Raw genomic sequence first — 27,747 nt, 5'->3', positions numbered from 1 at the left:
TATGGTACCAATTTACTGGTTGGCTCTTCAGTCGCCCAGGCTGTCCTGGAGGCCATGGACCAGTAGAGAAGTATAAAGTGGTGCTCTTGTTTTGAAGGGACTTACTATCTAATAGAGGCAACCACATATGGTTGTAAAGCAAATCGTCTGAAACCTTACGTTAATACAATGAAGTATTAAATTATGAGGTAGAAATTATGCATATTGTATGTACCATTAGTTCTGGGAGACGTAATAGCTCAGTCTTTAAGCTCACTAACTTTGACAACTTCTTATTCTAGACCTAGAAAAAAATCTTAAACATTGCCTAAATTGGCCTTCTCTTTATAGAAATAGGGAAACTAATCCAGAGTCAGGAAGTGTAGTGGCTTGCCCAAGGACCAGTTGCTGGACAGGAGGCTCAAATTCTGATTTTAGCCCATGTTTTTTGGTTTGTGGGTTTTTTGTTTTGTTTTGGTTTGGTTTTTTTTGTGTGTGGGTTTTGTTGTTATTGTTTTATTCTGTGTGGGTTGTTTTGTTTTGTTTTTTTTGAGACAGTGTCTTGCTCTGTCACCCATACTGGAGTGCAGTGGTGCCATCTTGGCTCACTGCAACTTCCACCTCCCGGGTTCAAGCAGTCCTCCTGTCTCAGCCTCCTGAGTAGCTGGGACTACAGGTGTGTGCCACCACACCCGGCTAATTTTTGTATTTTTAGTAGAGATAGAGTTTTGCCATGTTGGCCAGGCTGGTCTAAAACTTTTGACCTCAAGTGATCCACCCACCTCGGCCTCCCAAAGTGCTGGGTTTACAGGTGTGAGCTACCACACCCAGCCTGGTTTGTTTTTTGTATAGTAAATTAAGCACTGTTATGAGAAGTGTTCTAGAGCATTACATTATATGCAAACATACCTCACATAAGTTTTCTAGTAGTCACATTAATAGAAAAGTAAAAACAAGTGAAATTCATATTGATAATATATGTTATTTATTCCACTGTATCCAAAAGTATTTTCATTCCAACATGTGGCCCTCCTCATGTTTCACATGTTCACCAGCCATATGTGGCAAATGGCTTGCATATTGAACAGCACATTTCCAGAGTTTTAATGAATGCTATATCATATTTTCTTTTTCCTTAGATGGAATGGTAGGATTAGACATTATCCTGAAACAAACAGGAAAGGATCACTCCAGCTTGGCATAGGATAGAAGCTTGTAGAAAGATAGCATGAGAAGAAACTTCTGTGGCATTTGACTAGCAGTAAGCCCTTAAAGTAAATGATAGAACATATAAACCTTTGTGTTTGTTAGCTTTTGCTGCATTACAAAGTAACCTAAAACTTGATAGTTTAAGACAGCCACCATTTTATTTAGCTCATGATTCTGCTTGGCAGTTGATTTTATTTGGGTTGGATTTGCACCTGTGTTTGTAGTCAGTTGGCAGGATATCTGGTCAATATCTGGCCGTAAGCTGAGGTGGGCTGAAGTGATAGAACTGGGTCACATGTCTCATCCATTCAGGAGGACAGCCCAGGCCTGTTCGTATGCTGACTGGGTTCAAAAGTAGCAAGAAAGGGCAGGCCTCATTGTGGAAGCACTTGAAAGTGATTCTTGGCCTTATATTTTATGCTTTATTGATTTTTCATTTGTCTGTTTGAAATTCTTTAGGAGGTACTAGGATGACATTTTCAGAAAAGCCTTCTAGTTATTGAAAGCATTTTAGATGAAACTTTTGATTTTCAGTATTGGTGAGTTAAAACTTCTAGTGGCAAGGATACAGCAATAATTGCTTATGTTGGCTTATGCATTTGGGGGTGTTTAAATAGGTTTTTATCTTAGTTTGAGGAATTTATTAAGACTTAAGGTGTGGGAGTTGAAAAAAATGTCTGCCTTTATTATTGTATACTTTTTTGTTTGTTTCCTTAAAATTTTATCACCTTTAAAAATCTGGGGCATGTAAGCAGAAGTGTTCTTTCCTTGAAGTGGATGCGTGTGTGTGTGTGTGTGTGTGTGTGTGTGTGTGTTTTGAGACAGGGTCTTGGTCTGTCCCCCAGGCTGGAGTGCAGTGGCACGATCATGGCTTGCTGATGCCTCGACCTCCTGGGCTCCAGTGATCCTCCCATGTCAGCCTTCTGAGTAGCTGGGGCTACTCAGCTGGCCAATTTTTAATTTTTTTGTAGAGACAGGGTTTTGCCATGTTGCCCAGGCTAAAATTGACATTTTTTAAGGCAGAATTTAATTTACTTTTGGAATCCTAGTTGTGTAAAGACTTAATTTATTTTAAAAGGTCTTTTTTTCCTTTTCCTTTTTTTTTTCTTTTTTTTTTTTTTTAATTGATACAAAGTCTCACTCTGTTGCCCAGGCCGGAGTGCAGTGGCATGATCTCTGCTCACTGCAAACTCCGCCTCCCAGTTTCAAGTGATTCTTCCGCCTTAGCCTCCCCAGAAACTGGAATTCCAGGTGCCCGCCACCACGCTTCACTAATTTTTGTATTTTTGTAAAGACGGGGTTTCACCATGTTGGCCAGGCTGGTCTTGAACTCCTGATGTCAGGTGATCCACCTGCCTCAGCCTCCCAAAGTGCTGGGATTACAGGTCCGAGCCACTGTGCCCGGCCTTTTTCTTTTCTTTTTAAAAAAAAGTGAATGGAAGAAAATGTAGTTTATTAGAAATTAGGTTTGTCTTTGTTTTTATAAAATACAACAGTACCTTACAACTGTTGTAATAGTCAACAAAAGGAGAAAGAAAATAGAGCAGCCAAAATTTCTCTGCCATTATTGGCACTGTCCCTCAAGTGAAAATCCTTTACATGTGAGATTGTTGTTTTAAACTAGGACGTTTAATTTCCTATTAGAAGCTTGAATTCTCTTCTTTTCCTCCTCCTACTACTTATTCTTTTTTTTTTTTTTTTATAGCAATAGCCACAATAAGAAGGTACAAATGCACATGCTAGATTTGATGAGTTCTATCATCATGGAAGGTGATGGAGTTACTCAAGAATTATTGGACTCCATTCTTATTAACCTCATTCCTGCACATAAGGTCTGTAAAGTATGAAGATATTCAAGGTTAATGTTTAACAGTCACGCCACACATAAGAATGAACAGTTGTTTTATGGCCATTTGCAATCCCATGTAATTGTTCTCATGACCGTTCTCCACCTCAAATAAAATAACATGCATTAGTCTTGTGGCTATTATTTTTACAAAATATATTGATTAACATATCATGTAGGAGTTTCATTCATTTAAGTGCTGTTTTCTGGAAACTGAAAATGTTTTGTATTCACACAAATAATCTGAGAATTGTAAGGGGTTAGGGGTGTTGCCTTTTGGTTAACTTTGTTTGGAAAAGAAATGTATTTCCTCCTTTTTAACATAGATGTGAAACATAGGAGTTTGGATTTCTTTTCAGAATCCGTATCGTACCTTTTTCTTAGGTACTCTCAGAAAAAGATTTGGGCAGAAGCTATATGGTTAATGTTAAGAAGAAAAGGATGATTCAAAGGTGTATCATTCTTCCCTGTTTCCTTTTTCTATTTATCTCCACCAGATCCTCCTAAGAATCTGAAGGACTTGGCTGCCCTCAGGCTCCACCACTGGGCTCTACTCAGGCCTACCCCAATGTTGATATTTGCTCTCCTGCTCTTTTCTTCTAGTGGTTCAGTATCCTGTTATCAGACATTAGAGGAAAAATCTGTCCAATTATACTCATTCACAGAAAGATATAATTAATTTTAAATTCTTCTCGAGTTTAAATATTATTTACATTTTATTAATTCAAATGTAGTTTACAAAATTCTGTAGTTTATAAAAATTCTGAGACTATGGCAAAGGAGAGTATATTTTGGCAGATTAAGACAGTATATTTGGTTTTTATATACTAGGTAAGTAGGTTGGTGGTATTTTTTTGGGACAGGGTCTCACTCTGTCACCTAGGCTGGAGTGCAGCGGCACTATCTTGGCTCATTGCCGCCTCTGTCTCCTGGGCTCAAGTGATCCTCCTACCTCAGCCTCCCAAGTAGCTGGCAATACAGGCATGTGCCACCATACCTGGCTTTTTTTTTTTTTTTTTTTTTTAAGTTTTCTTTGTAGAAACAGGGTTTCGCTATGTTGCCCAGGCTTATCTCAAACTCCTGGGCTCAAGCGATCTGCCCGTTTTAGCCTCCCGAAGTGCTGAGATTACAGGCATGAGCAACCACATCTGGCTTGAGAGCATTTTTATTAGTAGTAGGAAATAGACTTCTTTTAAGAAATAGAAATGTTAACTTAATTTTAAGCAAATCTTATCCTTTGCCAATGAAATAAAAGTATAGAGCAGGGGTCAAGAAGCTATGGCTTGTTGATCAGATTTGGACTATTGCTTATTTATGTAAGTAAGATTTTATTGGAACACAGCCATGTTCATTCGTTTTCGTTTTGTTTATATCTGCTTTCATGCTACAACAGCAGAGTTGTGTAGTTGTTGCAGTGATTTGTATGACCCACAAAACCTAAAATATTTACCATGTGGCCCTTCATAGAAAAAGTTTGCTGACCCCTGGCCTAGAGTGTAGGGTTTCCTAGCCTTGTTTTGGAAGAGGTGTTAGATGATGGTGAATGAATCTGTTTGATCCAAAACTTCAAGATATAGCAATGTTAATAGGTATTATTCAAAACAAGAATTCCCTTTTCAGGCATTTAAAAAAAATTAAATAATATATTTTCTAAGGTCCTTCTCAGATCCTTTAATTTATTTGAGTACATTGGGACTCTTGAAACGGGAGCATAGTATTAAGCATTTCAAAAATACAATTGATCAAGAACGCTTTTTATTTGAAACGCTTACCAGGTCTACTCTTCTCCAGAGCACGCATTGATTAAACAATGAAATAATTGAGCATGTTGTGTTAGATCAGGGAGTGTATGTGTTTAAGATACGTGGGTGTAGTTGTCAGTTTACATTGGTTAACAGATAAAACCAAAAAGCATTAGGTCTGTTTTGAGTTTAATAAAACAATATAGTGTTGTGCTTTTGCTAACTAACCCATTTTAGTTTTTGATTAATAAATTAGTTCGATTTGCAACGTCTGCATTTAAGATCACTTGACTAGAGGATATTTGGCAAAACCTTGAAGAGAACTCAGTTATTTTTATTTTTGCTTCATATTTTAGTGAAGCAAAATTCATATTTTATTACAGATTTGAAGACTACAGTATTCTAATGTTACTATCTCATAAATTAACATTTATTTGTAACTTTCCATGTTTTTATTATTTTTCAGAACTTAAATAAACAGTCCTTTGACCTTGCAAAAGTGCTATTGAAAAGAACAGTCCAGACTATTGAGGCATGCATTGCTAATGTATGTATTTCTTTCTATGTTTATTCTATATTTTGTAATTCTTAATCCATTGTATTAATTTATTAGAACCTCTTACATAAAAGTTTATTTAGCTTATAAATATAAAATAACTTATGTCCAGATGTGACCAGGGTTAGAGAAATGCAGCATAAGTTTCATGACGTTTTTAAAGGGTGGATATTACTATAAGAAAAGTCGTCTGCAACTCCCATCCCCTTATCTGCATTTGTATTTATGTTTATTTCATTGTCTCCCAGATATGCTGATCTCTTTCATATTTTCCTTGGGTCTCTGTGTCTCTCTCTATATATTTTTTTCTTTGTTTCTTTTGGGTCATTCTTCTGAAGTCCTGTAATGTTTCTTCCTTTTTTTTTTATTTTATTTTTTTAAGATTACAGAGATTTATTTAGAAAATGGTTTGGTTGTTTTGCCTGTTGTTTTTGGCAAAGATTTAAATACTTTTCAGTAATGAAAGATTGTGATAGTTGCTACATAGTAATAGTTAAAAAAAGGTTTACTGAGGAATTTGTTCTGGGTTTGTTTTTCCTAAAAAAATCAATAATTTGGAAAAAAAAGTTTGCAATCTCACTACCTTATAGCAACTAATTCCATTGTTCATTTGCTCATATTTATAACTATTTTCCCACATACTTTATGAAAAAAAAATTTTTTTTGAGACGGAGTCTCACTCTGTCTCTGAAGCTGGAGTGCAGTGGTGCATTCTCGGCTCATTGCAAGCTCCGCCTCCCGGGTTGACGCCATTCTGCTGCCTCAGCCTCCTGAGTAGCTGGGACTACAGGCACCCGCCACCACACTTGGCTAATTTTTTGTATTTTTAGTAGAGACAGGGTTTCACCGTGTTAGCCAGGGTGGTCTTGATCTCCTGACCTCGTGATCTGCCTGCCTCAGCCTCCCAAAGTGCTGGGATTACAGGCGTGAGCCACCGCACCCGGCTATTTTATGTAAAATTTTTATCGTCATATTTGTATTTACGTATTTTGACATTCTTTTTAAATATATAAGAATGACTGTAAATGTTTCTTGATACGTATTTCCTTATTGTCATAGATCTAGGTCTTTTCAGTGTTTCTTTCCTTTCCTAATCATCTTTGTGAATCTAACATTTATATATTGTTGAATTATTTTCCATGGATAAAAATCCAAATGAGGCTTTTAATTTAAATGTTATCCTATTAGTATTACTTGGATTACTAAATTAATATTTAAACAGATTAAACAATAATAGTAGTAAAGAAGTGTCTGTCTTCAGCCTTGAATACATTTCTTAATTCTCAGAAATAACCATCCCCATTAGGTTTTCTTATATCCTTTCAGAAGTAGTATTCTGTGCTTTTTTGTGTGTGTGTATGCATATATTTTGATAAAACTATCTTCTTCATTATTTTCAATGTCTGCATAGTAAATATGAATTTTTTGATATTACTCTTATCCAGTGGGAATGATTAGAGATGGAGTCTCGCCCTGTTGCCCAGGCTGGAGTGTAGTGGTGCGATTTCAGCTCACTGCAACCTCCGCCTCCCAGGCTCAAGCGATTCTCCTGCTCCAGCCTCCTTAGTGGCTGTACTGCAGATGTGTGCCACCACGCCCTGCTAATTTTTATATTTTTAGTAGAGATGGAGTTTCACCATGTTGGCCAGGCTGGTCTTGAACTCCTGACCTCAGGTAATCCGCCTGCCCCAGACTCCCAAAGTACTGCGATTACAGGTGTGAGCCACCACACCTGGCCAATAATGAATATTTTCTAACTTAATTCATGCTGCTTTTCAACTTATGATACTACCAGAAGTGTATGCTTGTATCAGTTGCATACAATTGCCCCTGAGGCATTTTAAAAATTTAATTCTTCTGCATGTGTGACGGTGGTGTGCAGTGCTGGTATCTTTTAATTTGCGCTCTTGGCCTTGTATACTCTTTATTTCTGTCTAGCATTTAAAAAAAAAATCAGCTTTTGTATTACCAACTTTTTGTTCTTTTTGTCATGCGAGTCAAAACATATTTGACTTTCTCTGAGTATTAAAAGAAACAACCCAACAACAAAAAAAAATCCTTCAGCTTTAAATACTCTTTATTACTAAACTCATGGAAAAATTATTCTGTTTTTTTTTTTTTTTTTTTGAGACAGGGTCTTGTTCTGTCTCCCATGCAGGAGGAGTGCAATGGTGTGATCACAACTCACTGCAACCTCGACTTCCTGGGGCTTAAATGATCCCCCTGCCGTGGCCTCCTGAGTAGCTGGGGCTATAGGCATGCACTACCACACCCAGATAATTTTTTTATTTTTTGTAGAGGCAAGGGTCTCACTGTGTTGCCCAGGCTGGTCTCCAACTCCTGGGCTCAAGATTGTCGTGCCTCGGCTTCCCAAAGTGCTGGGATTACAGGCGTGTGCTGCTGTGCCTTTGATTTTTTTAAAAATCAAAGGTTGAGGCCAGGCGCAATGGGTCACGCCTGTAATCCCAGTACTTTGGGAGGCCGAGGCCTGTAGATCACCTGAGGTACGGAGTTCGAGACCAGCCTGGCCAACACGGTGAAACCTTGTCTCTGCTAAAAATACAAAAATTAGCTGGGCATGGTGGCGGGTTCCTGTAATCCCAGCTACTCGAGAGATTGAGGCAGGAGAATTGCTTGAACCTCGGAGGTGGAAGTTGCAGTAAGCCGAGATCACGCCACTGTACTCTAGCCTGGGTGACAGAGCCAGACTCCATCTCATAAAAAGAAAAAAAAAATCAAAGATTGAGACTTTGTAATTTTTCTCTGCTACAAGGAAATTTTTCTAAAATCCTTTGTAATGAACTACACAGACTGTCTAAATTGTTTTAATGAAAACAAAGATTCCTAGAAATGTCCTTATTTGAAATACACCCAACAAACCAATTTTTTTTTGCTTTTCTCCTTGTAACATTCATGATTTGATATTATTAGGAAATTATTTCTTCTGCTGTTTAGATGACTGTCCTATTATATATTAGTAATCACACACCTGTTTGTATCACCTCCTTCAATTGTATATGTAATACCTAATTAAATTATTTATAAAAAATGTTTATTAAAAATGTATCCATGTTTTTAAATGAACTGGATGTTTTCTTTTTGTTTTTAATATCTCTTACAGTTTTTCAATCAAGTCCTGGTGCTGGGAAGATCATCAGTAAGTGATTTGTCAGAACATGTATTTGATCTGATTCAGGAACTTTTTGCTATAGATCCTCATTTATTATTATCCGTCATGCCACAGCTTGAATTCAAACTAAAGGTAAGATTGACCAGTTTTCTTTTTTTTTTTTTAATTTTTTTGTTTCTAGAGCAGGCACAATGTAAAATTGACCAATTTTCATGCCCTTTAAACTTTCCAGGAAAAATGTATACCGCATAATTTTTCTGTAACTGTAGAAGAATAAAGTGTGACTTCAATTTATCTTTTTTTTTCTTTTTTTGAGACGGAGTTTTGCTGTTATTGCTCAGGCTGGAGTGCAATGGCGCAGTCTCGGCTCACTGCAACCTTTGCCCCCCAGGTTCAAGCGATTCTTCTGCCTCAGCCTCCCGAGTAGCTGGGACTACAGGTGCAAACCACCATGCCCATATAATTTTTCTATTTTTAGTAGAGATGGGGATTCTCCATGTTGGCCAGGCTGGTCTCAATCTCTTGACCTTGTGATCTGCCCACCTCGGCTGCCCAAAGTGCTGGGATTACAAGCGTGAGCCACCACGCCTGGCCACAAAATTATAATACTTTTAATTGTTAAATATCTACTGATAATCACAGTGACACAAGCAATAGATAGGAAAAATGGTATTATCTTAGAGATTTATAATACATGTTGGTATTAAATGGTATCCATTATTAGATAGATATGTTTTAGAACATCAAAATATTTTAAATGTAATCCTCATATGGTATTGCTTACAATTTTATGACCTTTTCATGGTACAGATTAAGGACAGAAATTTGACTGTCCTAAAAATAGTATATCTATTTTTTATAGACAACTGAGCAAGTAATTCGTAATTCTTGCCCCTCTGCTATTTGTAAAAGTTTAATACTGCCTTGAACTCTTGGGCTCAAGTGATCCTCTTGTCTCAGTCTCTTTTTTTGTTGTTGTTGTTTTTTTGAGACGGAGTCTTGCTCTGTCGCCCAGGCTGGAGTGCCCGGCTTTTCTTGTCTCAGTCTCTTGAGGAGCTGGGACTACAGGTATACCTCACCATGCCTGGCAATTTTTTGCTTGTTTGTTTGTTTGAGAGGGGTTCTCACTATGTTGCCCAGGCTGGTCTCAAATTCCTGGCCTAATGCAATTCTCCTGCCTTGGCCTCAAATTACTGAGATTACAGGCATGAGCCACTGAGCCTGGTCAAGGAATATATTTTGACTTTTACAAATAGCAGAGGGGCGAGTTTTCAGTTAGTTTTACTTCTGTAGTTTATAGATGTGAAATGTCCTCTTTTGAAATAATCACTGATTTACTAAAACAGTTACTTGCTATTAGAATAAAATTTCCATATATTGTTTCATATTTAAGGGATAGATTACTTTTTCTTTAAGAAGTAAATCATATTGGCTAATAAATTGAACTTATTAGAAGGTTGTGCTACTCTGCATTATTGTCATTTTGCTTGAGAAAAATTTTGTCAAAGAAAATCAGGCTGGGCCAAGTGCGGTAGCTCATACCTGTAATCCCAGCACTTTGGGAGGTGGAGGCAGGCAGATCTCTTGAGCCCAGGAGTTTGAGACCAGCTTGGGCAACATGGTGACACCCCATCTCTACAAAAAATACAGAAATTAGCCAAGCATATTGCCACACACCCGTAGTCCCAGCTACTCAGGAGGCTGAGGTGGGAGGATGGCTTGAGCCTGGAAGGCAGAGGTTATAGTGAACCGAGGTTGCTCCACTGTACTCCAGCCTGGGTGATAGAGCCACACCCAGACCTTGTCTCACCCAAAAAAAAAAAAAAAAAAAAAAAATCAGGCCGGTTGTGGTACCTCATGTCCATATAATCCCAGCATTTTGGGAGGCTGAGGTAGGAGGCTTGCCTGAGGCCAGGAGTTCAAGACCAACCTTGTCAGCATGGTAAGATTCTGTCTCTATAGAAAAATAAAAAATTAGCCAGGTGTGGTGATGCACACCTGTATGTCCAGCTACTCAGGAGGCTAAGATGGGAGGATCACTTGAGCCCAGGAGTTCAAGGCTGCAGTGAGCCATGATCCTGCCATTGCACTCCAGCCTGGGCAACAGAGCAAGACTCTTACCTCTTAAAAAAAAAAAATCATTTTTGTCATTTAAAATTAAAATAGTTAATACTTGATGTAATTTTCATTTTTACATTGGTTAAGTGTGCCTGTTTTACCCACAAAACCCCTGTTCTTGAACGTTAAAACATTCATAAGGAAAGGATTTTATCCTGTGGTCTTTATTTTTCTATTTTTACTTCTCTTTTCCAAAACTATTTTGTTTATTGGATATCTGGTATTGCTTTAGGCACATATTATATTTGAACACCTAAAAAAAATTAGCAGTTGCTTTTAGATACTATGTTTATTTTCCTAGTGAATATGATTTTTGAAAAGTTTCACACACCATATGGTTTTAGAATAACTTATTTTACATTAAAGCATGGCATCACTACTGAAACTGGAACAGAATTTTTATCGCATATACTGTTTCAGGATAAGAAAATATAATCTTACTAGAAAACAATGAAGTTTTGCTTTTTTATAGTATTTAAGCTGACCTTCAGATCATCTTTTGATTCTTGCATTGCTATTAAAATGAGTTTCCATGAATCATGAAATTCTGTAGTGTCGTATTCTCCAGTCGTAGGGGATCCTTCATTAAAACTTTGTGTATCAGCCAGGTGCGGTGGTTCATGCCCATAATCCCAGCACTTTGGGAGGCCGAGGTGGTTGGGTCACGAGATCAGGAGTTCGAGACCAGCCTGGCCAAGATGGTGAAACCCCATCTCTACTAAAAATGTGAAAATTAGCCTGGTGCGGTGGTGGGCGCCTGTAATCCCAGCTACTCGAGAGGCTGAGGCAGGAGAATCTCTTGAACCCGGGAGGCAGAGGTTGCAGTGAGCTGAGATCGTGCCACTGCACTCTAGCTTGGGAAAACAGTGCAAGACTCCTCAAAAAAAAAAAAAAAAAAACAAATTTGTATATCAAAACTTTAATTGATGTGTGTTTATGTTGGAACGTAAATTGCAGATTTCCTATAAAGTAAGCTTATTAGGGTGGTAACTGTAACTTTGTCCTTCATAGATGTTTTTATAGGGTTCTTAATGTTAGAAGTGAATTGTATGTCTCATATTTGTACAGTGTCCATAACCAATGTATAGAATGCAATTAATCAGTGAAGTAGACATAAATTAGCAGTTGGGAGGGTGTGAAATAAGAGCAAAAACCCAGATGATCTAACATGAAATTAAATCAATTTCTGCATAGTAAGTGAGGACATATGATATTTTAAACTTCTCACAGTTATAAGCAGAAATATGAAATAGTATCTTCTTGAGAATGTTTCAAGATATTTTCTGTAATCTGGTGAATAAAGCTTAGGCTTCACTTTCTGTTTTCCCTTCTTAGAGCAATGATGGAGAAGAGCGATTAGCTGTTGTTCGACTTCTAGCTAAATTGTTTGGCTCCAAAGATTCTGATTTGGCAACACAGAATCGTCCTCTTTGGCAATGTTTTCTTGGACGGTAAGAGAACATATAATTCTGATGTTTATATTTTAGAAAATAGTCAGTAGGGTGCAGTCCACTTGATTAAAACTATACATATCAAAACTTTCATTAATAGATGTTGGTTTCATTGTCATCTGTGTTTCCATCCTTCTTATGGAATAAATTGTATGAAAAATTTTTTATGAAGAAAGCTTAGTATTTTATCTGTGTAACTCTTTTTAACTTCTTTGTGTTAAAATAATGTCATGGCCAGCCGTGGTGGCTCATGCCTGTAATCCCAGCACTTTGGGAGGCTGAGGTGGGCGGATCACTTGAGGTCAGGAGTTCAGGAGACCAGCCTGACCAACATGGTGTCTCTACTAAAAATACAAAAATTAACCAGGGGTGGTGACCGGCACCTGGAACCGCAACTACGCAAGAGGCTGAGGCGGGAGAATCCTTGAACCCGGGAGGCAGAGTTTGTACTGAGTTGAGTTCAAGCCACTGCATTCCAGCCGGAGTGACAGAGTGAGACTCTGTCTAAAAAAAAAAAAAAAGAAAGTCATTAGAATAAATAAACAGCATTGCAGTATATTCTAAGTCTTAAGATCTTTAAATCATGAAACTGAATACATACTGATCCAAATTTAAGAACCTGTGCCATTTGTCAGCCTACCAACTTTTTCATTTACTAGTGCTTGTCGTTTGGGTCTGTAACTTATCTGAACACATTGTATGGTGTGTTTTAACTAATTTGGTATAATTGTATGATTTTTAAGTGGAAAATATGATTGCCATTAACTCAGATAGTTTTTAATGTTTCTTCTCAAGAGCTTAGAATGACTAAATTCTATTTGGCTTGATAGTAGTGTTGACAAATTTATGAAATTCATTAAATTTCTCCTTGCATTCCATTTACCTGTTTTGCTTTAAAAGCTGATTGGAAAGTAGATATTTACTATTAATATTCTGGAGATGTTCGAGATTCTCCGTTGTTTTAGTTCAACTGATTCAGTAGTTGGTGCCAGAATTTTTCTTGATGTAAATTCACCATAATAGTTCTCATACTAATCCTAGGTTCTGAGAAATCGCTGACAAGGCCTACTGCTATCTTAGCAGTTACTTGCCCAGAACACGCCATTTTGAAGGTCTTATAGGAATAAATGCTAAATAGTTGAATAACTAAATGTGACTCCATGAGAATTTTGAATGGTGGGAATGAAGCAACTGCACTTTCAAAGTTATGGGGGAGGAATTCCCTATCCCAGGATGGACATCAAATATTTTTTGTAAATCATTTAAGCAAAAACGCAAGGCTTCATTTTTCACTTTGGTTACTTTTAAAAATGAAATCACCCAATATAAGTTTCTGACACTCATTATTTTACACTCACTGCTAACTGTAGTGGTGTCTCTGATTCATAGAAACAAGTCACAGTCTGCAGTATTATTTTCCATAATTATAGCGTTAAGTGTTTTGATACTTTGTAATTACTTGATCATTAATAATGTATAATTTTTCTCTGCCAGCCAGAGAATTACAAATCCTAAATGCAGTATTTTATTAACACATGAAAATTTTATCTGGGTAAGAAAGTGGGAGGCCATAGACATTAAGACGTTTATTAAACAATTTTTGTTTACTTGGTTTTTTTATGAGATCATTTCAAAAATAAAAATACTTCCAGCTATTTCAGATCACATTATTTATCATTAATCAGTATATTTTAAAAGTTGCCTAATAATCTGTTTTAAATTTGAGGGTTCCTTACCTTATCCTTAACATGTGCATTTTTTTTTTTTTTTTTTTTAATTGAGACGGAGTCTCACTCTGTCGCCCAGGCTGGAGTGCAGTGGCGCGATCTCTGCTCACTGCAAGCTTCGCCTCCCGGGTTCATGCCATTCTCCTGCCTCAGCCTCCCAAACAGCTGGGACTACAGGCGCCCGCCAGTGCGCCCGGCTAATTTTTTGTATTTTTAGTAGAGACAGGGTTTCACCGTGTTAGCCAGGATGGTCTTGATCTCCCGACCTCGTGATTTGCCCGCCTCGGCCTCCCAAAGTGCTGAGATTGCAGGTGTGAGCCACCGCGCCCGGCCAACATGTGCATTTTTGAGTCTACATATTGTGTTGTATGTTAATTGAATTCTTAACGTATACTAGACCTTTAAAAGAGCACTGTAATACAAGTTGGTGCTGGCCAAAAGAAACTTAAGTGGTGAGACAGTGCAACACAAATTTTTTTTTTTTTTTTGAGACGGAGTCTTACTTCATCGCCCAGGCTGGAGTGCAGTGACGTGATCTCTGCTCACTGCAACCTCTGCCTGGCGGGTTCAAGCAATTCTCCTGCCTCGGCCTCCTGAGTAGCTGGTATTACAGGCACCCACCACCATGCCTGAGCTAGTAACACATTTTCTGCACTCATCTTTGAACTTCTGGATTTGCCCCTTATATATGGTTTGCTCTCTACCTCAAGTTTCCCAGTGTTTGTCTCATATAAACCTTTCGTCTTGTTTTGTTTTGAGACAGGGTCTGTTACCCAGGTTGGAGTGCAGTGGCACAATTATGGCTTACTGCAGCCTCGACCTCCTGGGCTCAAGCAGTCCTTCCACCTCACCCTCCCAAGTAGCTGGGACTACAGGGGAATGCCTCCACGCCCGGCTGATTTTTGTGTTTTTTTGTAGAGACAGGGCTGTGCTGTGTTTTCAAGGCTGATCTTGAACTCCTGAGTGCAAGCAATCCACCCACCTCAGCTTCCTGAGTAATAGCTGGGACTACAGAGGCATGCTACCATGCCTGCCTAATTTTTGTATATTTTGTAGAGACAGGGTTTTGCCATGTGTTCAAGGCTGGTCTTAAACTCCTGGCCACAAGCAATCCACCTGTCTCCGCCTCCCAAAGTGCAGTGATTACAGGTGTCAGCCACCGTGCCTGGAATCTCCTATAAACTTATTCTTCAAACTGATTTTGTGTGTTTTGAATATTTTTTACTTTGTAGCATAATATTAAGCTCTCAGATTTTAACTCCATAAAGTGTATAGTTTGGGTTGAAGGATGTGTTTGTTTATACTGTTTTTTGTTAGTTAGTTTTAGCATGGTAAAGAAATTCTGTTTGTGAATATGTTTTTGTGAAATTGTATCCTTTCACCTTATAGTGTACTTTATATTCTTCCTTCAGAATACCTTAGCTCATAACAAATTTTCTAATCAGTAACTATTGTTGCGTATAAGTATTTTCATGTTAGATATACCTGATTTGAGAGTGATTATTTTGCCTTACAATTAATGTTTAGCAATCTTTTTCTGTGTAGATTTAATGATATTCATGTTCCTGTGAGATTAGAAAGTGTGAAATTTGCCAGTCATTGTTTAATGAATCACCCAGATTTAGCGAAGGATCTCACAGGTAAGCTAGCTGGTTTATTACACATATTAGCATAACCATACAACTATATTGTAGATATGACTTGTGACCTAACTTCACTTTCCAAGTAGGTTTTAACTCTGGTATGGTCTCGTGTTTTCATTTGTTGTGCACTAAGAAATGATTTCATGTTCATGTAATAAAATTACATTTAAAATCTCTTTATTTGTTTGTTTGTTTATTTTAAGAGAAAGGCTTTCACTCCTGGGCTCAAGTGACCTCTCACTTTGAGATCCCGAGTATTACAGGCGGGTGCTACAATGCCCAGCTTAAAATCTTCATATTTTAATCCTTTGAAATTTTTTGAAAATCATAATTTAAGGAAGTAGTGTATTTCTTAAGACATTGGATTTGGGTAGAAATCATTATGTCTATTTAATTAAATATAGTGGCATTTAATAATAAGTGGGAACATGATTATCTTCTGCACTAGACTAGAATTTTTCATTCTTTTGAATCTAGAGCATTTAAATCTACCTTTTTGGTAGCAGCACATAAGTGGTTTTTATCAGCAGGCTGTTATTTACCAAAAAGAACAGGGGAAACAACATGTTTTTGTTTAGATTTAGTTTGTATTATAAATTATTTAAGAATTTTTTGAACAGATTATAAAATATTCTGGATTTTATATTGTGTAATTTGCAAGTATATACCTGTCAGCTAAATTGCCATAAGCATTTTCACTGTTTTTCTTTTAAGCTTTTTAATTAGTAACTGAAATTCAAGCTGACATAGATCAGATACTGCATTGTGAGTTGACTTTTCCAGGATAACTGATGAAAATACATTATTAAAATGTAACTATGGGCATGGTGGCTCACGCGTGTAATCCCCTGCACATTGGGAGGCCAAGGCAGTGCATCACTTGAGGCCAGGAGGTCAAGACTAGCCTGGCCAACATGGTGAAACCCCATCTCTACTAAAAATACAAAAATTAGCCAGGCATGGTGGCAGATGCCTGTAATCTAAGCTAATCGGAGGCTGAGGTACGAAAATTGCTTGAACCTGGGCGGCGGAGGTTGCAGTGCACCGAGATTGCTCTATTACACTCCAGCCTGGGTGACAGGCTGTTTTTGTTGTTGTTTCAACAACAAAAAATAAAAATTAAAAAAAAGATGTAACTGTGAAGTATTTTATTTTATTTTATTTTATTTTATTTTATTTTATTTTATTTTATTTTATTTTTTGATACAGGGCGTCACTCTGTTACCCAGGCTGGAGTGCAGTGGCTTGATATTGGCTCACTGCAGCCTTGACCTCTGGGCTCAAGTTATCCTCCCTCCTTAGCCTCCCAAGTAGCTGGCACTGCAGGGGCGGGCCACTACACTTCTGGCTAATGAGTTTTTTTATTTGGTAATTTTCGTAGAGACGGGGTTTTGCCATGTTGCCTAAGCTGGTATGAACTCTTGAGCTTGTGCGACCTGCCTGCCTGCCTCAGCCTCCCAAAGTGCTGGTATTACAGTTGTGGGCCATCACACCTGGCCAACTTGGGAGTTTAAAGTGCAGTTTTGTGATTACAGTAGAGTACTGCTGCTGTAAAAATAACATGATTTAATTTCATGCCATATTTTACAAACATTGCTTTAGTATGGACAAAAACTTAACATATTTCTGTTCTTGCCATTCTAAATCATGACAAATTACATAGCTAACATTTAGCCTAAGTTTTTTTTCTCTTATTACAGAATATTTAAAGGTTAGATCACATGATCCAGAAGAAGCTATTCGTCATGATGTCATTGTTACTATAATAACAGCTGCCAAGAGGGACCTGGCCTTAGTAAATGATCAGCTGCTTGGCTTTGTAAGGGAAAGAACACTGGATAAACGGGTAAAATCTGAGGCATTTTATTCTTCTGTAATTTACTGTTTAAATTGCTAAATACAATTGGGTATCATTTTCTGTTACATTTAATGTCTTTCTGTGTGAAAATCAAATTAATAACAATGATAAAGAGCTCCTAATTTGTATGTTTCCTGCATATCTTTTAATTATCCTTATGAATAAATACAATGGATTCTATACCTTTTGAGATCTTAAGCATGGGTTTCTTTTCTATCATACCTTCATAAGAGAACCACTAAGTTAATCAAAATTTTACCTTTTTATTTACATGATGAGTTTCAAAAGAATAGTGATTGATCGTCTATTCTTATAGTTAACATTTTCACATATGACTTTCTTGAATAACTTAGCTGGGTCTGCCATTCATTGAACTTTACTTCCTAAGAAAGTGACGTTTACATATTGATGTGCCAAGCTAAGGACAATAATGATGGTTATATGTTTAGTTATTTTTCCTGTGATTTTCTCCATTTGATGCAGTTGAAAAAATGGATTGCCGGGCGCGGTGGCTCACGCCTGTAATCCCAGCACTTTGGGAGGCCGAGGCGGGCGGATCACGAGGTCAGGAGATCGAGACCATCCTGGCTAACACGGTGAAACCCCGTCTCTACTAAAAATACAAAAAATTAGCTGAGCATGGTGGCGGGCACCTGTAGGCCCAGCTACTCGGGAGGCTGAGGCAGGAGAATGGCGTGAACCCGGGAGGCGGAGCTTGCAGTGAGCCGAGATTGCACCACTGCACTCCAGCCTGGGTGACAAAGCGAGACTCTGTCTCAAAAAAAAAAAAAAGAAAAGAAAAGAAAACATGGATTGTTAAGGAAAAGTAGTGTTAAGAATACAACTAATGAATAGCGTCAGGTGTAAACAAGAAACAGATGTGTAAGGCAGGCTGATTAGGCCTAACATTTCTAGCATGTTTCATGATTACCTTGCAACATGCTATTATTTTATTTGAGGTGTAGTTGAAAATTACTTTCGTCTGCAAATGAGTATTATAATTTCAGGGTAGAATAGTAATTGGTTTGGGTTTTAAAATATAGAAAGAGGTATTCTTTAAGTTTTTACTTTTAAAATTGTCACAGGAGCCAGATGTTTAAAAAAAGGCAGATACCTTTTAAGTTGTTCAACAGTGTTAGTAATTTTAACTTTGAAGATTTTTTTCCCTTGGCTTTAATTTAAATGAAATGACTCTCTCCCTAGTGGTTATTTGGCATTCCTCCCTTCCCCCATTTAAAAAGTTTCACTACTATTACAGTTTTTTCATAGTTTCAGAAAGTTGAATAAATGAATCTTCCTAACTGAAACTGTATGGTGTGGTAACAGTAACACCTACTGGATATTTTCTGACCCATATTTTGGTTTAATAAGTTAGATGTCCTTGGTTATAGCCTCTAGAAATTTGGGAACAGGATTTCATCTTAAGATTTTATTGCTTGTTTTTTTTTTTTTTTTTTTTTTTTTTATGTAAGAAATCTCAAAAGGCTTTTGCTAACCTGTTACATAGGAACAAAGTTTTATTCCATCTAATAAGGGGCCTAAAAAATGAGAAAATGATACAAAAAAATTTATAAAGAAGTATTGACTTAAATACACCAAAGATAATATACTCCCACCCACCCCTCTTTTTTAGAGGTGGTGTGTTACTATGTTACCCAGGCTGAACTTGAACTCTTGGATTCAAGTGATCCTCTTGCTTCATTCTCCTGAATAGCTGGTACTACAGGCTCCCACCATCACACTCAGCTGCTGCTGCTGCTGCTTTTTTTTTTTTAATACACAGATTTTTTTTTACTATTATTTTTCTTACATCTTATGATGATCCTCATTCTAAGTTTTTATGGTCTCCTTTCCTGTCTCTTCTCTTACAACTTTTCTTTCCTACCCTATTAAACCTTCCCAACCTCTAAAAGTCCCAAAGAATCTTCTGCCAACTAGCTAAATCGTTTGCCTTTTAGGTTTGCAACGTAAGGAAGTTCACTTACGGTGATCACTAAGGTTTTTTTTTTTTGTTTGAGACAGGGTCTCACTTTGTTGCCCTGGCTTGAGTGCAGTGGTGTAATCTCAGCTCACTGCACCCTCCTCTTCCCAGGCTCAAGCGATCCTCCCACCTCAGTCTCCCAAGTAGCTGGGACTACAGGTGTGCACCACTACACTTGGCTAATTTTTGTATTTTTTGTAGAGACGGGGTTTCACCATGTTGCCCAAGCTGGTCTCGAACTTCTGGGCTCAAGGGATCTGTGCCTGCTTCCACCTCCACCTCCCAAAGTGTTGAGATTACAGGCGTGAGCCTGTTCTCTCTTTTGGGAACTCTTTAATTTGATGTTGAAATTCTTGGACTGATAGTTTAATTTTCTTATCTTTTTTTTTTTTTACTTCATCTCCATTTTTAATTTCCAAAAGCACCTCTTGTTATCTAATTTGTCTTTGTTTTTCTTTTCTTTTTTATTTTTTAAATCAGTTTCCTCAGATTGAATCATTAATTTTTCTAACTTCCTTTCTCCCTGCCTCCTTTCCTTTTTTTCTTCCCTCCTTTCCTTTTCTTCTTCCTTGCTTTCTTCCCTCCTTTTCTCCCTGCCTCTCTCCCTATCTTCCTTCCTTTCTTCGTCAGAGGCATTGAGTCTTATTTTATGGTGTAAAATCTTATCTCCCTGAGAATGTTTGGAAGTGTCTTTTACTGCCTGTATTATCTCTGTTTCTGCTGAGTCCTGTTTTCCTCCTCTGGCCTGTTTGTTTTGGTCCCTCTCTTTACTGTTGAAAGCGTTCCTCAAAGGTCTGATGATCCTTGAATAGTTGGTCAGTTTTTTGTTTTTTGTTTTTTTGTTGAGACAGAGTCTCACTCTGTCGCCCAGGCTGGAGTGCAGTGGCGCAATCTTGGCTCACCGCAACCTCCGCCTCTCAGGCTCAAGTGATTTCCCTGCCTCAGCCTCCCAAGTAGCTGGAATTAGTGGTGCGTGCCACCATGCCCGGCTAATTTTTGTGTTTTTAGTAGAGACCGGGTTTCACCATTTTGACCAGGCTGGTCTCGAACTCCTGACCTCAGGTGATCCACCTGCCTCGGCCTCCCAAAGTACTAGGGTTACAGGTGTGAGCCACCATGCCCGCCCTTGGTCAGATTTTTAACTGACTCACTGCACAGCTGATTGGAAGCTCTGTTTGAGTGGGCAGGTTTTGTCAGCTTGTGAGCATATTTTTAGATTCACTGGTTAGTCAGCCAGCTCAACTCCTAGATTCACTACAATTTTAGATTTACTAGGATTTTAGATTCACTGGGTAGTCAGTTCCCCAAGTCCTGAGCTCAAGCGATGCACCTGCCTTGGCCTCCCACAGTGCTGGGATTACAGGCATGAGCCACCATGCCTGGCCCAGAATTCTTGATAGTGAACTTTGTTCTTATCCGAAGTTAACATCTAAAGGGATGTAACTGGCAATTAAAACATTCCAGATAATAGGGGTTTTGTTTGCAAGGGGAATTATAATCACTTCTAAAACTTGGTGAATTTTCTTTCAATAGAATCAAATGAACTCTCCCATAAGGTTATTAATAGTTTTCAAGGGAAATAAAAAATCAGTAACCTGTAGTTCTAGGTACTCAGGATGCTAAGGCAGGAGGATCACTTTAGCCCAGAAATTTGAGACCAGCCTAGGCAACGTAACGAAACCCCATTTCTTTAAAAAGAAAAAAGTAGATCATTTAGCAATATTTGCATTGGAAAATTTCTAAATAGGAACAGATTCAAAATTGTTTGTAGGCTGGGCGCGGTGGCTCACGCCTGTAATCCCAGCACTTTGGGGGGCCGAGGCGGGCGGATCATGAGGTCAGGAGATCGAGACCATCCTGGCTAACAGGGTGAAACCCCGTCTCTACTAAAAATAAAAAATTAGCCGGGCGTGCGGGCGCCTGTAGTCCCAGCTACTTGGGAGGCTGAGGCAGGAGAATGGTGTGAACCTGGGAGGCGGAGCTTGCAGTGAGCCAAGATCCTGCCACTGCACTCCAGCCTAGGCGACAGAGTGAGACTCCGTCTCAAAAAAAAAATAAAATTGTTTGTAAAGCCTCTTTTGAAGAGAAATAGTGTGCCAGTTTATAAAGGCACACATAAGACTGTACAACCTAATGAAGCCAAGGCAGTCTTTGGAGATTAGTACAGAGTTTTGTTATCTTGCTCATCTAATAAATTTTATGCTTTTTAGTGGCGAGTAAGAAAAGAAGCTATGATGGGTCTGGCTCAGCTTTATAAGAAATACTGTCTTCATGGTGAAGCAGGAAAGGAAGCTGCAGAGAAAGTCAGCTGGATAAAGGACAAACTTCTGCATATTTATTATCAGAACAGCATTGACGACAAGTGAGTTTAATATGTTGGTAGAATGGTTGAGTGTAAAACTACTTTTTACTTAAAAAATGTCTATTTAATATTTTAGTAATTTCTTATTTTTATGTATTTACTTCATAAATAAAATTAAGTTTATTCAACTTGATTAATCATTTATTTCTAAGTTTAGAGATAGCTTTTTACATATTTTTATGTACTGTGTTTAAACAAGACTGTCCACGATTATAAGGTAGCCTTATAATATGAAATAGGCATGAACTTTGGAGTTAGAGACCAAATGTTCACTCTGCCCTTTATTAGATGTGTATTCTTACATAGGTTCATTAAGGTCTTGTGCGCTTCAGTTTTATATAAAAAGGAAAAATAATAGTGCCTTTCCCACAGGATTATCATGTAGATTAAATAAAATAATGAATATAAAGCATCCTAGCCCAATGTGTGGCAAGAGAGCACTATTGAGTTAACTGCTAGTTACTTTCCTTTTTACACCACTACCAATAGAGGAATTACTAAGTTGTTTTCATTTTCTGAATATTACTTATAATTCTATATTGGATCGTACAAATGATACTTGGTGTGTGCAGAATAGTTTCCATTGTTTTGTTTAATTAAACTAACTTCTCTGGCATCACTGGATATGTATTTCATTTGTTAATTAAGAGATCTTGTATATTCTTAATCCAGTGATATTAAATAATAGAAGCAAGAAGATACAAGCAATAGGTACTAGCAAGAAGGATATTCCAATATTGGTAAGGAATTTAGATCATGGAGAGAACAATAATCAGATGTACACAGGAAAAACTACATTTTCTGGAAGTAATATGAAGGGGGGTCCCCCTGTTTTTAACTATGTGACAACATGGAAAATGGGCTGAACTGTAATCAGAGGAAATTAATGAGTTTCTTGAGAATTAGCTCTACCGCGGATCATAGCTTTATATGTTGCGTTAATGAATTTGCTTTTGTTCTAGACTGCTGAAGAAGAATAGGCGGAACAGCCTAGCACCCTGTGTTTAGGAATAACATTTAAACCTTCTAGAACAAATGTTTCATACTGACAAATTATAAAGCCACAGACAGTAACCGTGTCTCTAAAGTTAAACTGTACTGAAAGCTTTCCAAGAAGGAAGTCATTATAAACTGATATCTTCCATTGTATGTGCACACATAGCTATTATCTTGATATGGTATCCTGGCATAAGATGGTTAAAACTTAAAATGTTGGCTGGGTGTGGTGCCTCATGCCCGTCGTAATCCCAGCACTTCAGGACGCTAAGGCAGGCGGATTGCCTGAGCTCAGGAGTTCCAGATCAGCCTTGGCAACATAGGGACACCTTGTCTCTACAAAAAATATAAAAATTAGCTGGGCATGGTGGCACGCGCCTGTAGTCCTAGCTACTGGAGAGGCTGAGGTGGGAGAATCGCTTGAACCTGCGAGACAGAGGTTGCATTGAGCCGAGTTTGCACCACTGTACTCCAGCCTGGGTGACAGAGCAAGACCCTGTCTCCAAAAAAAAAAAAAAAAATTGCTTCTTAAAAATGGAATAATTGTGTCACTTAGGTTTTTTTTGTTGTTGTTATTTCCTAGACTGTTGGTAGAGAAAATCTTTGCTCAGTATCTTGTCCCCCACAACCTGGAAACAGAAGAGAGAATGAAATGCTTATATTACTTATATGCTAGTTTGGATCCAAATGCTGTAAAGTAAGTTACTTTTCAAATAACTGCTGTATTTTCTAAGGATTTCGTAAAATTACTTCATCTTATCTAATTAGTTGTTATTGATTGGATTGTTGCTGCTTCTATAGTTGAATCAAGAACCTCAGGTAAATATTTATAGACAAAATGTTACGATTTATGTTCAGGTTATTCTTATATGTGTAGGCTTGTTTGGCAGCCAGGTCAGTAGTAGGATGGTTTCAGGTGTTCAAATAAATGACCACGTCAAAATACCTGTGGCTAGTGTCTAAAACTACTGGTGCTTTATCCTTCCAGACTAAATATTAAGCCTAATAACTGAATACTGATTCTTTGTTGGGTGAACATATTCAGATCTTCTCTGTGTAAGATGGCCATATGATTAATGGTCCAACTGGATTATTTTCAGACTGAAAGGGATCACTATTGATATTTTTACTTAAATAGCATAATCAAACTGTCCCAGGCCAACCAGGATGTGTGGTCATTTCACTTTAATAGATTTTTTTTTTAAAGTAAATGTTACAATATATACATATATTATGTTGTACACCATCGTATATGTAATTTTTGTCAAAAATACACAAAGTAAATGAGTGATGTCATTAAGAATTCTGATCTGAAGATGGAAGGATCTTTTCAGCCTAGAAGCTTGACCATCCTGGGCAATGTAGTGAGATTCTGTCTTAAAAAAGAGAGAGAATTTTGAGTTAGGAATTTGACTGTTTGCCATTGTGGCTTCTTCAAGTGTTCCTGCATTATTAGATTAAGACTGCATTTTTAGGCCGGACGTGGAGGCTAACCCCTGTAATCCCAGCATTTTGGGAGGCCAGGGCAGGCAGATAATTTGAGGTTAGGAGTTCGAGACCAGCCTGGCCAACATGGTGAAACCCCATCTCTACTAAAAATACAAAAATATTAGTTGGGCATGGTGGTGCACGCCTGTAATCCCAGCTACTAGGGAGGCTGAGGCCGGAGAATTGCTTGAACCCAGGAGGCAGATGTTGCAGTGAGCCGAGATTATCCCATTGTACTGCAGCCTGGGCAACAGAGTGAGACTTGTCTCAAAAAAAAAAAAAAAAAAAAGAAAGAAAAGAAAAAAAGACTGTCATTTTGGCAGAAATTCTATTACGATAGTGTTGTATCATGGTTACTAATCCCTTTCCTTGCTTAAGGTTTTGATGTTTGTTTACATTTCAAAATATCTGACAAAGAGTGTTTAGAGATTAGTAATTCTCAGAGGTCATCTGGGCACCTGGAAATATGGATGGGATTTCTGAGAGAAGAAAATCTGTGTTCCTGGAGAGAGAAAAGTTTAGAATAAACACAATAATGTAAATTTGGCATCTTGAATCTGCATCATTTTTGATACTTCATTTTTCAAAATAGTCTATAGTGCTTCATGTATATGCCTTAGCCTTTTTAATAAGGCCTTCATGATTTGATCTGTGTCTGTGGAATGCTCCAGCTTCCTTATGCTCCACACACATGCCTTGTGCTCCAAGCGTATACATGTTTTTCAGTTTGTTTTATGTCCCTTGCACTTTGAGATTTTCTTTCCTTGTACCAAAACTTTCTAGCTACCTGTATTTAGTACATCTTTCAATCCCTGTATTACTTATTAATCTTTCTAAACCTCTCAAATATTTTCTCTCATAAGAAGGCTTATATTTACCATTTGTACTAAATTGTTTTAAATCCTAATAAATATATTTCCCGGTATTTAAACTTTTAGGTAGATGTAGAAGAATGGTGTATATACAGCATGCAACAAGAAAGGTTGTAAAGCTGAATAATTTCCAGTATTGTTATGTAATGTGTGTTTTCATATTCATAACTTTACAGAGCTCTCAACGAAATGTGGAAGTGTCAGAACATGCTTCGGAGCCATGTACGCGAACTATTGGATTTGCACAAGCAGCCTACAGTAGGTTCATGATTTGTTTAAATTCATAGTTTATTATAGTCACTGTTCAGATTTTCTGTAGTTCTACGTAATGAAGCAGGGAAAAAGTATCTCAGTTGTTTTATTTTCCAAATGTCAGTTAAATATAATTTCTGTAGTTGTCCAAGCTAAATTTCCATTTAAAATAAATATAACAAACTCTTATTTTCTAGTGTGAGCAAAGAAATGGTGTTTTCTAGTTTATATAAAGTTTTCAGACACTAAGAGTTTATAGTTAATCAATTTTCAAATAATTAGAATTAAATTTTGAGATAAAATTACATTAAACATCATATTTCTTTTTCACTGCATGATTCATGGTCTCTCAGTGTAGAGTGAATATCAGATATCAATCCTATAAATATGCCAATGGCAAACTAAAAAAGAAATGCCATTAAATTTTTGCAAGGTTGGGGAAAAAAACTTTACATTTTTACGTGTGTTCACTAGAATAGGTGTTCTTAACCAGGGGACCATATAAACAGACCCCTCAAGGACACATGGATGCTGGAACAGGGGCGGGCAAACTTTTTTTTTTTTTTTTTTTTTTTTTTTTAATACACAGGATCTTACTCTGTTGCCCAGGCTGTCGCATAGTGGCATGATCACAGCTCACTGCAGCCTCGATGTCACTGGGCTGAGGTGATCCTCCCACCTCAGCCTTCTGAATAGCTGGGACTACGGGTGTGCTCCACCATACCCAGCTAGGTTTTGTATGTTTTTTGTAGAGGTGAGTTTTCACCATGTTTCCCAGGCTGGTCTCAAAATCTTGGGCTCATGCAGTCTGCCTGCCTAGGCCTCCCAAATTGCTAGGATTACAGGTGTGAGATACTGCACCTAGCCTAGCAAACTTTGAAAATAAATCAACAGATAGCAAAAACATATTTTGCAAGGCATAGAGTCTGTGGTCAGATATTCAACCCTGCCTTTGCAAAATTAGTCATACACGATAAATAAATGAATGGACATGACTATATTCCATCGAAACTACTAACAAAAACAGGTAGCTCATGGGGGCATAGTTTTCTAACTTTTGAACTAAATTATTCAAATTTAGTATAAATGAAAACTAATAAGTAATGTTTTATGGGATACAGGAAAGGGAAGTACGTTTTAGAAAGGAGGTTTTCCTGAAGGTATTTAAGTAACGGGCCACAAAGTAGCTAACAGAACTCTATTGCAGAAAAAAAAGTTTCTTCTCTATATTTTTAGTTAATTTTTTGTGGCATGTAGTTTCATAGTAATTCTGATATGATAAGTTTATATGTTGATTGCTTCATTGATCTTTTTTCAATCTTCTGGCAATGTAACTTTCCTGTGAAAGTTATATACTTGTGGGTTTTTAAGTACCTTCCTCCCAACATCTCCTTTCCTTCTATTTGTCTTAATAGTTGCTACTATGTAATTCTTTGTTGTTAGTTTAGCGTATATATGTGGTAAAACCATTTTCCATTGAGCAGACTGTGATGAACTTTATTTTTTAACGTCATGAAAAATGTACAGTAATGAGTATTGATTTTTGTTAGGGAAATTTGTTAACACATATGACTAGTTGTTCTTTTGTTTCTGTTTTAAATTTCAGTCAGAGGCTAACTGTTCTGCCATGTTTGGAAAACTGATGACCATAGCAAGTGAGTATGTTTATTTACTCACTAAACATGTAGTAAACGTAAATGCAGACAAAGTATTTACCCAGTGGGACTACTGATTTAATGTTAAGTAAAAGAAAATAATCTTTATCTTAATTTTGTTTCTAAGAACCAGCTAGGCTGATTTTCTTTTAGTGGCTCCGCAATATTTTGATGGCACCTGTTTTTAGCTTAGTAGAATAGTTTTTTTTTTTTCCTTCTCTAATATTGATTCTCTTTTAATTTTATAGAGAATTTGCCTGACCCCGGGAAAGCACAAGATTTTGTGAAGAAATTTAACCAGGTTCTCGGCGATGATGAGAAACTTCGGTCTCAGTTGGAGTTATTAATTAGCCCAACCTGTTCTTGCAAACAAGCAGATATTTGTGTGGTTAGTAAATCATACTTCACACTTTTTCTCTAGCTTTACTTACAGAAATATGTATTTTATTAAAGCCTGTTTTACATACAGTGATTTGTGTAAATGTAACAATATTGTGAGCTCTGAATTACTTTGGAGTATATCTATTGTCAAGTTAATTCTCTATTTACCATTCACTCTCAGCCACATTCCAGGAAAATAACTAAAGAACTAAGCCAGGGAGATTGGTCTTAGGAATTTTACAAGATAAAGTACTTTGAACTTAGTAGACATTCATTGAGTAATGATAAGTATTTTCTGAATGCTTGTGTACATGTGCATTTTCTTCTTTCATGTATTAGAATGGAAATAATCGTCAATAAATTAGTAGTAGTAACATTGCCATATATCTGGTTTCATTTACAGATAAAGTAAATTCCTATCTAGACTTTTGTCTTCATTCTTCTCTTGAACTCATTTAAAACCAATATTCTTAAAGCTATCAGGAGGGAAAACTTATGCAT

At 37.4% G+C, this 27,747-nt stretch overlaps 1 protein-coding gene across 7 annotated transcripts in view; it reads left to right on the top strand.

Moving 5' to 3' along the window:
* The window catches only part of PDS5A (PDS5 cohesin associated factor A), a 155,049-nt gene that overhangs the window by 52,270 nt on the left and 75,032 nt on the right, over nucleotides 1–27,747 (top strand). For 6 of the 7 annotated variants that reach the window (XR_001741185.2, XR_001741188.2, NM_001100399.2 and 3 more), the window contains 11 exons: nucleotides 2,894–3,020; nucleotides 5,243–5,323; nucleotides 8,454–8,594; nucleotides 11,916–12,031; nucleotides 15,304–15,398; nucleotides 17,102–17,247; nucleotides 21,451–21,602; nucleotides 23,182–23,295; nucleotides 25,135–25,216; nucleotides 26,817–26,865; nucleotides 27,114–27,253. Coding sequence is in view for 5 of the 7 variants with exons in the window: in NM_001100399.2 (NP_001093869.1) it covers nucleotides 2,894–3,020; nucleotides 5,243–5,323; nucleotides 8,454–8,594; nucleotides 11,916–12,031; nucleotides 15,304–15,398; nucleotides 17,102–17,247; nucleotides 21,451–21,602; nucleotides 23,182–23,295; nucleotides 25,135–25,216; nucleotides 26,817–26,865; nucleotides 27,114–27,253 (1,243 nt within the window). In the remaining 2 variants the exon portion in view is untranslated. Of the gene's footprint in view, nucleotides 1–2,893; nucleotides 3,021–5,242; nucleotides 5,324–8,453; nucleotides 8,595–11,915; nucleotides 12,032–15,303; nucleotides 15,399–17,101; nucleotides 17,248–21,450; nucleotides 21,603–23,181; nucleotides 23,296–25,134; nucleotides 25,217–26,816; nucleotides 26,866–27,113; nucleotides 27,629–27,747 lie in introns of those variants that run through there. The other variant, NM_001100400.2, reaches the window with a different exon arrangement.

Source organism: Homo sapiens, chromosome 4, assembly GCF_000001405.40.
Source record: "Homo sapiens chromosome 4, GRCh38.p14 Primary Assembly".
NCBI classification, from domain to species: Eukaryota; Metazoa; Chordata; class Mammalia; order Primates; family Hominidae; genus Homo; species Homo sapiens.
This window is presented reverse-complemented; position numbering and strand designations above follow the sequence as displayed.